Source organism: Homo sapiens, chromosome 10, assembly GCF_000001405.40.
Source record: "Homo sapiens chromosome 10, GRCh38.p14 Primary Assembly".
Lineage (NCBI taxonomy): Eukaryota > Metazoa > Chordata > Mammalia > Primates > Hominidae > Homo > Homo sapiens.
Window position 1 is genome coordinate 52,279,829 of NC_000010.11, and position 13,973 is coordinate 52,293,801.

The window sequence follows — 13,973 nt, forward strand, 5'->3', positions numbered from 1 at the left end:
TGAAATGAAATTATTAAATTGTGCTTACTACTCGGGAAAGAAAAAAAAAGTACATGGTTTATCTCTTTAAGAAGTACCATGAAAAAAAAAAAGAAAAATAGTTAAAGTTAAGACGTTCTGCCCTAGAACAAAGGGTTTAACCTTAGATGCCAAGGTTTTTTCTAAATTATTTCATTCAATCAATCAATCAACATATATATGCCCATATATCATATATATGAGACAGAGAGAGCCTTCTTGCTAAACATAATAATCAAGATTACTAATAAACATTCCCTTCTAGTTACTTTTTTCTTTGTAATTGTCTTTTAGTCCATCTTTTCCCCTTAATAAGAATTCAGTAGTATAGGAAATAGATATTGTTTGTTTTGGATGCAGAAGTTTCAAAAACAGAAGAGTACTTAGCTTGCATTATGATTGCATCAGTAGCATTATAACTTATTTCCGGAGTGGTTCTTTGAAAACAGTTGCTTTTATTCAGACTCTCATGAACCATATCTGCATTATTTAGAAAGATTAAAAAACAAGCCCTCTAAGAATAAATATGAATAAACCCATAAACTTCTCCTTTAAAAAACAAATGCTTGGTAGGCAAGCTCTAAAATAGGATTATTTTTCTCTCCTGCCTACTTCTGTAAGTCTGTGCCTTTTTCGATTGTAGTGGGCTGTTGAGAGGAAGACACTAAGTACATGAAATGTGTTGTGTTGAACTATTCTTTCAGCCCTTTCAGTAAGTGAGATTTAACTATTCCATTCATAAAGACAGAGAATTCCTTAACTTGATCCTTGAATGCTTCAGAAAACCCAATGTAATGGCAATCATGTAACATTTAGCTAGCAGGACAGTGATCTCTGGGTTAAATTTTGGCAAAGGAATATAGTGAAATGAGAAAAAAAAAATAAAGCCATATTACAGAAATTAATTTTTTATACAATTTTCATTCCATTTCTGCACCTCAGAGGTTCGTTTGAAGATTCTACAACCAGATTTTACACAGCATGTGTGGTAGAAGCTTTTGCCTATCTGCATTCCAAAGGAATCATTTACAGGGACCTCAAGCCAGAAAATCTCATCCTAGATCACCGAGGTTATGCCAAACTGGTCAGTGCATTTCATACGTGCTTTCTGCCCTGCAGATTAAAAATATTTGTTTATAAAACTGTGTTCATTTGCTAATATGAAATCTGAGTTTTCCTTTTCAATGTTGTAACTTTCTTAAAAGCAGATTTTAGCATTACACTTTTCAACTGAATGTTCTTTCAAATGATGCATCAGTTATGAAAAATTAAGTTGGCTAAGTTTGAATTAACAATACTCTGGCAAAAGATGCTTTTATAAGCATGAGAAAACACACTTGCTGGCATGTGTTTACATGCCCAGAAGTCCTTTTCTCCAGTCAGCTTTTTGCCATTCATAAGCAATGGGTTTTTATATTATGGAAAACCATAAATCATTTTAATATTTTAGATTTAAGAATAATGCTAATGGAAAAAAATGTGCTTTACAGGCAATGCTAGCCAGGTTATGTAATAGTAATAATAATAATGGTCAAAAGCTGTAAAGATTTACCATAGAAGAGAAGTTCTTTTATTTACAAATGCACAACTTTTGTTGGATCTGTTAACAGCTTGATTCCATTTTTAAAGTTTTCAGAATTGTTATTCAGCATGTGGTTTTTAGAGAAATCAAATCAGTGGCAGTTTTTTATTTGTAGTTTCAACCAAATCGTTTTAGAAAAAATATATTTTCTGCAGTCGACACTCTTCCTTCAAAAGAGTTCCAGAAAAATGAAGAATACATTATAATTTTATTTCTGTTTATGCTTACTAAGGGCAGAGTCATTGGTCCCAAAACTATCTTACTCACTTCCTGCAAACATAAAATAGCTTTTCAAATAATTAATACTAAATGAATTGTCGCCTTCATTAAATCCAGCAGAAATCATGTATATTCTGGGAAAGATGTTAAGTAGGCCCAACTGGTCGTTAACAATTTTTAGGTACAGAAGAGATTCTGTGTTTACACTCCAACCTCCATTAGCATAAAAGAAGAAAAAATGAAAACTATATTCGGAAAGGAAGATTTACCTTTATTTTTAATGATGTGAATTTTATGCTATACTCAGGTGTCAACTTTTGCCATTAAAACTGAGGTGCATCAGGGAGACTGTCTTTGCAATATAGACTATTCTTTTTGGAAGACAGAACTATAAAAACATACATGTTTTTAAATTATTATCATCATCAGTGTGCTTCAAAATAACTTATTACTTTAAAACTTAATCATAAGGAGCTTAAGTATCTTGTTTTTCTCTCTTTGTAAGGTTGATTTTGGCTTTGCAAAGAAAATAGGATTTGGAAAGAAAACATGGACTTTTTGTGGGACTCCAGAGTATGTAGCCCCAGAGATCATCCTGAACAAAGGCCATGACATTTCAGCCGACTACTGGTCACTGGGAATCCTAATGTATGAACTCCTGACTGGCAGGTATGGATATTGATAGGGAACTGCTGATAAAAATAGACCAGCATGCAGCTACACACTCCTGCTTTTGTCACTTGGATTAGACCATCTTAAAGTACTTTTCACCATATCTTGGTACCACAGTTTAATTAGTTATACAGATGACCAGGAATTCATAATGTAAGGTATAAAATAGTCCAGGCTAGGGCAACCACCTGAACACTAACTTTTGGTCTCATTATTGCTACTTCTTTTTTACATATGTGAATGTGGAAGGATATAATGTCCTTCTGTGAGCTATCTTAGCCCAGTCATTTAGCCAGCAATGAAACAGGGGAGATGATAATCATATAAAAATATCTAGGGTCAATTTTCTATAGAAGTAAGAGGACCTGTTAGCAACTGTTATATCTAAATGAAAGGTGACTGCTTTGTACATCTTTCCTGTAATGTTATTATCATCAACTCAAATAGGCACTAGGGACACCACAAGGTATAAAACAAACTTTAAGATCCTCAAGGACCCATATTAAAAGAACAACAAATACACTACCATGACATGTGCTAAAACAGTGAGTGACAGGGGTGTTATGACCTACAGATTTCAGGACAGGGATGGGTTCGTAAAGAGGCTTTTGAAGAATGAATATAAGGCAGCTGTGTCTTGAATGAAGAGTAGGACTTAGATATAGAGAGCAAGAAAAGGGTATTCCAGGCAAATAGGCATGGCTTAAAGAGAAAGGCAATAATCGTCACAGACATGGAGAAGGTTCATGTAAAAAAAACAGGAACAGTCATCTTTTGACGATCATGATTGCTGCACTTGAGTGTTTGGACTCCATCTACAGAGGGAATCATTGAGATTTTCTGACAAAGGTTGAGTGATGTGTGTTGTGGTATTTAAGGAAAAACAAGTTGGCAGTAATAAGCAAATTGGAAGAGGAATAGGAAGCTAGTTTGAAGATTGTTGCAGTAATTTAGTTCTAGGACACTGAGAGCCTAGAGTAGGGCAAGGGCAATGGAAAAAAAGAGTAATTGTGAGGCAGGATGTGAAGAATTACTTAAGAGGACTTAGTCACTACAGTGAACATGAGAGGAAGACTGAGGACTTTGAGCACAGGGTACTCTGTGAGGATTCAGTGCATACATGAAACACTTAGAAGAGTGTTTCGCACATAGTAAGCATTCCATGAATGTTAGCAGCTGCTACTACTACAACAACGACAGTCATTGCCAGAAATAGTTGTGTTTTGATTTTATTTTTATTTATGGGTATTTTACATTATTACCCATAAAGTTTCTCTATTGACTTCAAATAAATTATGTGTGACATAATCCAATTTTGTTCAGTGTGGATTGTTCAATTTTGATCTTGTGGATGGAGGTAAATTATTTTAAAAGTATGACCAATTAAGTAGACCTGTAAAGATATGAAAAATTTGGACAAAGTAGAAGGTTAAATTTAACATATGTGTGTGGATGGATAGATAGGTAAATAGGCAGAGAGATAGATAAAAAGGTAATCTTTCTAGTGTGCTTAGAATTGCTATAAGAACCAATTATATAATAAATAGAAGAAAACTAAATATTAACTATTTTTGAGGAAGTAAAATATTCACCTATAATAACTAGACTAAAATATTAAACATGACAACTTATATTTCTCCTTAAATGTTTAGACATTTCTCTACAATCATTGTTTATTCATTAAGTAATAAGGTGAAAATGATTAAAACCTTAATCTTAAAAACTGGCATATACTAAACTGTAAGAAATAATTAATAACAGAAAAACCTTTAATCCTTTAAAGTAGAAATTGCACAGGTTACAATATCTGACTGGAATATAATAAAACTTGGAATTAATAACAAAGATTTAAAATAAAAAGTCTAAATACTTGAAAATTTAAAAAGCATTTTTCTAAATAACCTCAAGGACATAGAAATTACAGAATAGCAGAGCAGCAATAAAAATAAAGCACTATAAGTCACAATTTATGTTGTATTTTCAAAACCAAACTTAATTTTTTTACCATAAATATATATATCGAAACATTATGATTAAACATACCTAAACTTAATATTCATTTCAAGAAATAACAAGACAGAAAGAATTTTGGTCAAAGACAACAGCATTAAAAAAATCTTTACTTTTCCTTTTCTACCCAAAGAGATGATGGTGGTGGTAAGAGACGGTGGCCAGGGGTGGGGGTGGGAGAAGGCAAGAATAAAACAAGTAGGATGATCTTTAGTTACAAATAAAGTTCCACAAAACACACCTGCCAAACACTATGAAGTATGGCATGTGACTAGGAATGATGCTTGGACCACAAGCATGACTCCAAAGTATTTTGGTCCTGAATGTCATATCTAATGATCTTCGATAGTAATAATGACATTTAGAGGACTGGCTGGACCTTGAAAAAGCAAAGACTGTTCATGCAGAGACCTAATTAAGCACTACAGAATGAAAGAGGAACTGAGGTGAAGGAAGATTCATACAAATGTACCAATTCTGCCTTTTAAGGCTTATAATGTTGGTCAGTGAAGCAGGGAGTGAAAAGGGGGAGAGAGGCAGTGATTAATGATTTCAGAGAATGTGGTGGGGCTTTGTATGAGCCACATGACCTCCCTGAATGTTTTAAATTGAGGGCAAAGGAAATAAATGATCTGGTTATAAGGCAACAAACAGTAGTGAAGGCTGGTGAATTTCTCATTGCTTCCTTCCCTCCAACTTTCCCTGTTCTATTCTTCATGGTAGGCGGCCCAATCTAAGGATAAGTAATGGTCAGAAAGGGTCCCAGGGAAGCCAGTCCCTGCCCCTCTTACAACCCCAGCCCCCTTCCATGCATACACACCAACTCCTTTCTTACTGATTTTGCTCAAGGATCCATCTCCCCCACCAACTTAGGAAAAGATGAATTTATCTCCAGTTTTAGGTTTTGATTCAGCTCGTCTATTCCAGTCACATGGCATTCCTCTAGTGATTGGCATTTATTGGACTGGGTACATAAATTAGAGGAATAATTTTAAAATACATTATTGGAGGAGAATTCTTTTTTCCTACAGTAGCTACTCAGTAAATAATTACTGAATGAATATAAGTCCTTATTTCCACTGGTAGACTTCCTATAACTATGAGGGGAAACAGCCATGATGAAACTAATAGTGACTATGGCAGAATGAAAAGCTGGAACCACTGATCCTACCAGTCTAGAATTTGCCCTACCTCTGGAAAGTGCTTTTGTGAGTTCAATGTTTTTCTTATTTTAATCAGTTTGAGCTGATGTTTTCCATTTATGTCAGCTGAAAGATGCAAAAGTAAAAGAAAGCTAAAGAACACACAAGAAAAATGAATCAAGGAAATATAGGAGGAAGTGTTTAGATAAACTCTTATCTATAATTTCTTTGAGGCTATCAAAAGCATGATCTCCCTAAAAAGTAACCTCTAAGATATTTGCAAGTGTTCATAAATGAGAAGACAAGTAACTAGCAGAGCTCAGGACCATTACAGAACTGAAAGTCATGCTGTAAGTAAGAGAAAATAAAATAGTAACAATTAAAAATGCAGCAAGGGAGATAGTAGACAGGCTTGGAAAATATAATGAAAAAAGAAAAAATACATAGATATGATTTCAGAAAGAGAATCTATTAGTCAAAGGAAATAGAAAACACATCAATTATGTGTATGAATATAATATTACAAACAGGAGAAAAAACATCTTTAATTACATAATAAAAATCCATGGCATAAAGAATTGACTCAGTATATCCTTTTGATCTGCAGTGACCATGGAGAAACTGATTCAGAATAATATCACCACAGTATTTCCATGTGGTGAATTAATGAATTAAATTCATTAATAAGGAATAGTCTTATTGGCATCAAAGCCATAAAAACACGGCATGTGTGGTATTGGGAGTGAAGACAGTTAAAGTTCCAGCTGGCCTCAACCTTCTCTACAGCATCTTTAATGCCAAAAGATAGTATATCAAGAACTACGTAGTTCTGAGGGTCAGAGAAGGTATAACCCAAGTAATTTATACTGAGTTAAGTTCTTCTTCAAATTCAAACACGACATATAAAGTGTGGACCCCAGGCCTTTCTCAAAAACACTACTATTCAATCAAGCCCACAAAAAGATGAATCAAAATAAAGCATTCAGGAATAGAAAAACTAGTAAAAAGATTGATGAGCTTTGGGTCTAATTAATTAGAACTTAGATCAAATAATTTAAATTTGGGTAATTGAACAGAATGTAAATATTGTAGTCTTTGGCAATCTTAAAATAACACTAAAACCAACAAAAATTAAGGTGGGAGGTAAAGCAGGTATAACTATAGGTATACTTATTTCTCATCATTAATAATTAGTAATCTTACATATATTTTATAGTTAAAACATGTCATTACAGAAGAGAAATCTCTAAATTCAGTTTGATTTTTTTTTTAATTTTAGAGAAATATTTTAGGAATTAATATTGGTTAAGAAGCACACATATCTGAAATTTAGCATTTCTCTCCATTTTACTCCTCAGTTTAGCTAAAGTAAAATTAAATCGAATACTTCTAAATTTAAAAATATGCATAATATAATCCTGTGTGTCTACAATCTACATATAGAAGTCTATGAAATTATGTTCATCAAATGTAGAGCATTCTGAATATTTTGAGGTTTTGGATGACTTTCTTCTAAATAATTTTGTTTTATATATTGAATGAATATTAGACTAACATGCATCACATAAAAACCACAAATACTATATTTAATAATTGATTTTAGTTTTCTAAGATAAGCAACTAAATATAAAAGCAAAATAAATATAAAAGCAAAACTATAAATTAGAAATCATTGCCAAGATGTGGCTCCTCCTCATTTTTTAAAGTAAAAAATGAAAACTGGCATGTTAAGAGATTAAAAAGAATATTCAATCATAGAATCAACTAAAGATAAAATTTTAAATTCTAAGAGAATACTAAATAGATTTGCATGTTTATACATTTTTCAAGTGATTTAAAATTGATAGGCAATTACTAGCTAATGACATATTAAAGTAAATAGAAAGCATTTTTCACAGAAAATCAAAGCAGAATCCATCACAGCCCTTAACAGGCAAATCTACTACTCCTTACTTTAAATTACTCATTAGCCTGCTTGATAAAAAAGAAATAGTTTGAACTGCTCTTAATAAACATGAAAGGCAAAAAAAATAATAATTCAGATTTCTTCCCCAAAGACACACAAAACCTGTATTAAAGAGAGTAATTAATTTCCAAAGAAATCATTCGTCAAGGTGTATCATCATCTCCCCTCTGAATTGTGAGAAATTTGAAGGAAAGACCTGACTTTAGTCATCTTTGTACTCACTGAAGCTGCCACAAACCACACTTCAAGGATGGATCAGTTAAAAAAAAAAAAAAAAAAAAAAATCAACAGATCTGGCTCATGAGGGCTGGGGTATTACATCCTTGCTAGCAAAGAGGATGCCTAGTGTTAAATTATCTAATGAGGTCCTCTGAGCAGAGAGAAAAGGATAGGAGGAGTACTATTCTATAGAAACATTAGAGCAATAAATATTTATTGCCTCCTTAGTATGTACATGCTGCAAACTCTACTCAACTCTGGGAATACCAGCAGAAAACAAACTCTTCTGGAAGGGAAGACAGACATAAAACAATCACACAAATGAAAAGATAATTACAAAGTACAATAAGTGGCATAAGGGTGCTATAAAAGTGTAACAGGGACTCTAATTTAGATTAAACTTTAAACTAGAGCATGAAATTAGATTGCTAGGTTACGTGGGTTGATATAGGTTATGTAATTGGTTGTAATAGGTTGACCAGAGTAGGCCTTTTGGAGGAAACAGCATAACACTTATACTGAAACTTGATAAAGTGAGGCATTGGCCAGATAAGTATGGGAAGAACCTTCCAGACCAAATAAGTAACACCATGAGGTAGGAAAGTGCTCGGCATTTCAGTGGAACAGAGAGAAGGCTATTGTTTCTGGATCCCAGTGAGTGAGGGTGGTAATGGCATGAGGTGGGGTAGTATCGTTGGTGTTCCTGCGGCCCCTCCTAATGATTTTGGACTTCATCTCAAGTATAATCAATGAGTCAGTAAGTGTGGAAAAGGTCAGAGAGTAGAAGAAGCATCTTGAATGACCAAGGACAGCATGAGGGCTTAGACTCCAGCACTTAAAAGAAAGCAAGAGAAGAGCAGATAAACTTGACCCATTTCTGGTTTCACTAAGTGATTTACTTGGAAGGGCTTCCACACTGTTTTGCTATTAATCTATTTTCATTCCATTGTCACTATTAATCTAAGCCCCCAAATATGAATTGATGTCATCTGTGGAGTTTATAGCAATTCAAGTGTTCTCATGTAGAAAATAAAAGTAATATCTCTTGTCGTGTCTCTCATTCTTGCAGCCCACCTTTCTCAGGCCCAGATCCTATGAAAACCTATAACATCATATTGAGGGGGATTGACATGATAGAATTTCCAAAGAAGATTGCCAAAAATGCTGCTAATTTAATTAAAAAACTATGCAGGTAAGTATTTCAACCACATTATTTTTGAAAACATCATAATGTGAAAAAATTAGATTTAATAAAACCATTATTTTATTTTTAGGGACAATCCATCAGAAAGATTAGGGAATTTGAAAAATGGAGTAAAAGACATTCAAAAGCACAAGTAAGTGTTCTTTCTGCAGAGTTCTGAACACGTGACATCATTTCCCCAGGGTGTTGCTTTTTAAGTTATTGGTGTAAAACTAGTATAATTAGCCTATAGGAACATCCAAAGACAGCGTATAAACTAGTAAGGCTTTTAAATGCCTTTCTAGTTGTGATTATGAAACCTTATTTATATTTATCTGACAACCCTGTAACATAAGAAGCTGAACTCAGTTTCTTACAACTCATACCAACTAGCATTTTTTTCCCCTCTGGCACAAAGGGGAAATGTGTATTTTAAATTTGGGGATTCTATTCTCTACCACAGAATTACAAATAAAAGTCCCCTACTGTATCTTACCTGATTTCCTAAAGACAAAATATATTTTTCCAAGCATTTCCTAATTAGATGTTATAACAGGAGAAAAACATAAGTACAGAATACAGTGTTTTTTAAACAATAGCAACATCTTAAATATCAGACCTTCCCTATGTTGATTGGATGTTCTAAAGCTAAACTAATTGGGTTTTCTCTATTTGTTTGTGTAACACTGACAGGAAATTCACATCCTTATCAAAGAAACATGTTTACTAAAATATCTCTGAATATCTGAAAAGCCTGCTAAGAATTTGTTGTAAGCATTTGCTAATGCTGAAACCCTTCAAAGACAAAAGAAAACAAACAAGCAAAAACTTTAGTCTTTTTTGGTTCTTATTTTCACAGAAAAACTGTACACAAAATATCTTTATTCTTCATTAAAAAAGGGAAAAAAAGAAGAAAATGGGACATGTAGAGACTATGACAATGATGTGAAAAGGTTAATTAGCTGACACTGTGCACTGAATCAGTGGCAAAAATGGAAAGTTAATTTTCTATCCTGACTTTTCATGCCCTGGTTCTACCTCCTTAAAATAAAATATCCTGTAAGGCACAGGGCCAGACACATTATGACATGTATTAAATTTTAATTATAGTGTAGGAACAAGGTCATAGAGACATTATGACTGAATTACAAGGAATAAGTGTTGCATGTTAATTGGTGTTTAAAATTTGACAGTTATACTTTTAAAAATATGTATTTCATAAAATAAACTATTAGGAAAACATATGCAATTAAATAGAAAACATTTTTGTCACATGAAAATGTTTGCCTAACTGCTTCCCATTAGCCATGGACATTGTATACACTGCAATGAGAAGCTTTTAGCTGACACAAAATGTTTTTATCAACGTTTTTTCCTTTTCTAGATGGTTTGAGGGCTTTAACTGGGAAGGCTTAAGAAAAGGTACCTTGACACCTCCTATAATACCAAGTGTAAGTAGACTTTCCAGCTTATAATTGTGTGACATAATTGATGGTGTTTATGTCAGTCAACAATGATCTGTTATTTTTAAAGTTTAATCCTATGATTAAGTTAAACAAACTCTAGGAAAAATGTCACATTAAAATAATGACATATTCTAAAATCCAAACTTGAAAGCAGATAAATTTGGGGATAGTCACTGTAAATGTGTTTTACTCTTCTCTTTTTTAACTATTCATTTGATTCAAGTTTCCCTCATTTATGAACATAAGTTAATTTTTAGCATGGGAAATGTTCAAAATATAGAAATGCAGACAAAAATATATAGGTGAGAGGATCACTTGAGGCCAGGAGTTCAAGAGTTCAAGACCAGCCAGCCTGGACAACATAGTGAGACTCTGTCTCTACAAAAAAAGAAAAGAAAATACTAGCCAGGTGTGCTGATGTGCACCTATAGTCCTAACTACTCAAAAGTCTGGAGCAGGAGGATCACTTGAGCCCAGGAATTTGAGCTTACAGTGAGCTGTGATTGTACCACTATACTTCAGCTTGGGTGACAGAGTGGAAAGACCCTGTCTCTAAAAAAAGAAATAAAATAACACTTTTTCAAAGAGTCTTTACATGATCACTCTTTTTTTTTTTTTTTTTTAATTTTTTTTTTGAGATGGAGTCTTAATCTGTCACCCAGGCTGGAATGCAGTGGCGTGATCTCGGCTTACTGCAACCCCTGCATCCCAGGTTCAAGCAATTCTCCTGCCTCAGTCTCCTGAGTAGCTGGGATTGTAGGCAAGTGCCACCACTCCCAGCTAATTTTGGTATTTTTAGTAGAGACACAGTTTCACCATGTTGGCCAGGCTGGTCTTGAATTCCTGACCTCAAGTGATCCTCCCACCTCGGCCTCCCAAGGGTTGGGATTACAGACGTGAGCACCGCGCTGGGCCTACGTGATCACTCTTTTATTTTTTTATTTTTTTATTTTTTTATTATTATTATACTTTAAGTTTTAGGGTACATGTGCACAATGTGCAGGTTAGTTACATATGTATACATGTGCCATGCTGGTGTGCTGCACCCATTAACTTGTCATTTAGCATTAGGTGTATCTCCTAAAGCTATCCCTCCCCCCTCCCCCCACCCCACAACAGTCCCCAGAGTGTGATGGTCCCCTTCCTGTGTTCATGTGTTCTCATTGTTCAGTTCCCACCTATGAGTGAGAATATGCGGTGTTTGGTTTTTTGTTCTTGCGATAGTTTACTGAGAAATGATTTCCAATTTCATCCACGTCCCTACAAAGGACATGAACTCATCATTTTTATGGCTGCATAGTATTCCATGGTGTATACGTGCCACATTTTCTTAATCCAGTCTATCATTCTTGGACATTTGGGTTAGTTCCAAGTCTTTGCTATTGTGAATAGTGCCGCAATAAACATACGTGTGCATGTGTCTTTATAGCAGCATGATTTATAGTCATTTGGGTATATACCCAGTAATGGGATGGCTGGGTCAAATGGTATTTCTAGTTCTAGATCCCTGAGGAATCGCCACACTGACTTCCACAATGGTTTAACTAGTTTACAGTCCCACCAACAGTGTAAAAGTGTTCCTATTTCTCCACATCCTCTCCAGCACCTGTTGTTTCCTGACTTTTTAATGATCGCCATTCTAACTGGTGTGAGATGGTATCTCATTGTTGTGTTGATTTGCATTTCTCTGATGGCCAGTGATCCAGTGATGATGAGTATTTTTTCATGTGTTTTTTGGCTGCATAAATGTCTTCTTTTGAGAAGTGTCGGTTCATGTCCTTGGCCCACTTTTTGATGGGGTTGTTTGTTTTTTTTCTTGTAAATTTGTTTGAGTTCATTGTAGATTCTGGATATTAGCCCTTTGTCAGATGAGTAGGTTGCGAAAATTTTCTCCCATTTTGTAGGTTGCCTGTTCACTCTGATGGTAGTTTCTTTTGCAGTGCAGGAGCTCTTTAGTTTAATTAGATCCCATTTGTCAATTTTGGCTTTTGTTGCCATTGCTTTTGGTGTTTTAGACATGAAGTCCTTGCCCATGCCTATGTCCTGAATGGTAATGCCTAGGTCTTCTTCTAGGGTTTTTATGGTTTTAGGTCTAACGTTTAAGTCTTTAATCCATCTTGAATTAATTTTTGTATAAGGTGTAAGGAAGGGATCCAGTTTCAGCTTTCTACATATGGCTAGCCAGTTTTCCCAGCACCATTTATTAAATAGGGAATCGTTTCCCCATTGCTTGTTTTTCTCAGGTTTGTCAAAGATCAGATAGTTGTAGATATGCGGCGTTATTTCTGAGGGCTCTGTTCTGTTCCATTGATCTATATCTCTGTTTTGGTACCAGTACCATGCTGTTTTGGTTACTCTAGCCTTGTAGTATAGATGCAGAAAAGGCCTCTGACAAAATTTAACAACCCTTCATGCTAAAAACTCTCAATAAATTAGGTATTGATGGGACATATCTCAAAATAATAAGAGCTATCTATGACAAACCCACAGCCAATATCATACTGAATGGGCAAAAACTGGAAGCATTCCCTTTGAAAACTGGCACAAGACAGGGATGCCCTCTCTCACCACTCCTATTCAACATAGTGTTGGAAGTTCTGGTCAGGGCAATTAGGCAGGAGAAGTAAATAAAGGGTATTCAATTAGGAAAAGAGGAAGTCAAATTGTCCCTGTTTGCAGATGACATGATTATATATACAGAAAACCCCATTGTCTCAGCCCAAAATCTCCTTAAGCTGATAAGCAACTTCAGCAAAGTCTCAGGATACAAAATCAATGTACAAAAATCACAAGCATTCTTATACACCAATAACAGACAAACAGAGAGCCAAATCATGAGTGAACTCCCATTCACAATTGCTTCAAAGAGAATAAAATACCTAGGAATCCAACTTCCAAGGGATGTGAAGGACCTCTTCAAGGAGAACTACAACCCACTGCTCAATGAAATAAAAGAGGAAACAAACAAATGGAAGAACATTCCATGCTCATGGGTAGGAAGAATCAATATCGTGAAAATGGCCATACTGCCCAAGGTAATTTATAGATTCAATGCCATCCCCATCAAGCTACCAATGACTTTCTTCACAGAATTGGAAAAAACTACTTTAAAGTTCATATGGAACCAAAAAAGAGCCTGCATCGCCAAGTCAATCCTGAGCCAAAGAACAAAGCTGGAGGCATCACGCTACATGATCACTCTTATACTTTCATGGCATCTTTGTTTCCATAGCTCTAGCCAAAGTTTATTATATAGAAAGATTTTAGTGATTATTTGTTTTAATCATACAGTTTATTACTCACAAGGGTATAAACTCTCCAAGGATAAGAACCATGTCTGCTTGTACTTACCACTGTGACCCTCAATACCTGCTACATAGTAGATACTCAATGAAATAGTCACTAATAGGGAATAAATACAGAATGCACTTAAAAATTCCAGCTTGGAATTCCACTAAAAAAAATCCACTAAAAAAAACCTGTCCATTTTTTACAG

The 13,973-nt window shown here is 34.6% G+C and overlaps 1 protein-coding gene across 4 annotated transcripts in view; it reads left to right on the forward strand.

The window, feature by feature from the left end:
* Window positions 1-13,973, forward strand: part of PRKG1 (protein kinase cGMP-dependent 1) — a 1,307,463-nt gene that overhangs the window by 1,288,941 nt on the left and 4,549 nt on the right. For all 4 annotated transcript variants that reach the window (NM_001098512.3, XM_017016413.2, NM_006258.4 and 1 more), the window contains 5 exons: window positions 961-1,102; window positions 2,325-2,488; window positions 8,898-9,020; window positions 9,103-9,165; window positions 10,396-10,462. In NM_001098512.3, the coding sequence (NP_001091982.1) occupies window positions 961-1,102; window positions 2,325-2,488; window positions 8,898-9,020; window positions 9,103-9,165; window positions 10,396-10,462 (559 nt within the window). The remainder of the gene's footprint in view (window positions 1-960; window positions 1,103-2,324; window positions 2,489-8,897; window positions 9,021-9,102; window positions 9,166-10,395; window positions 10,463-13,973) is intronic.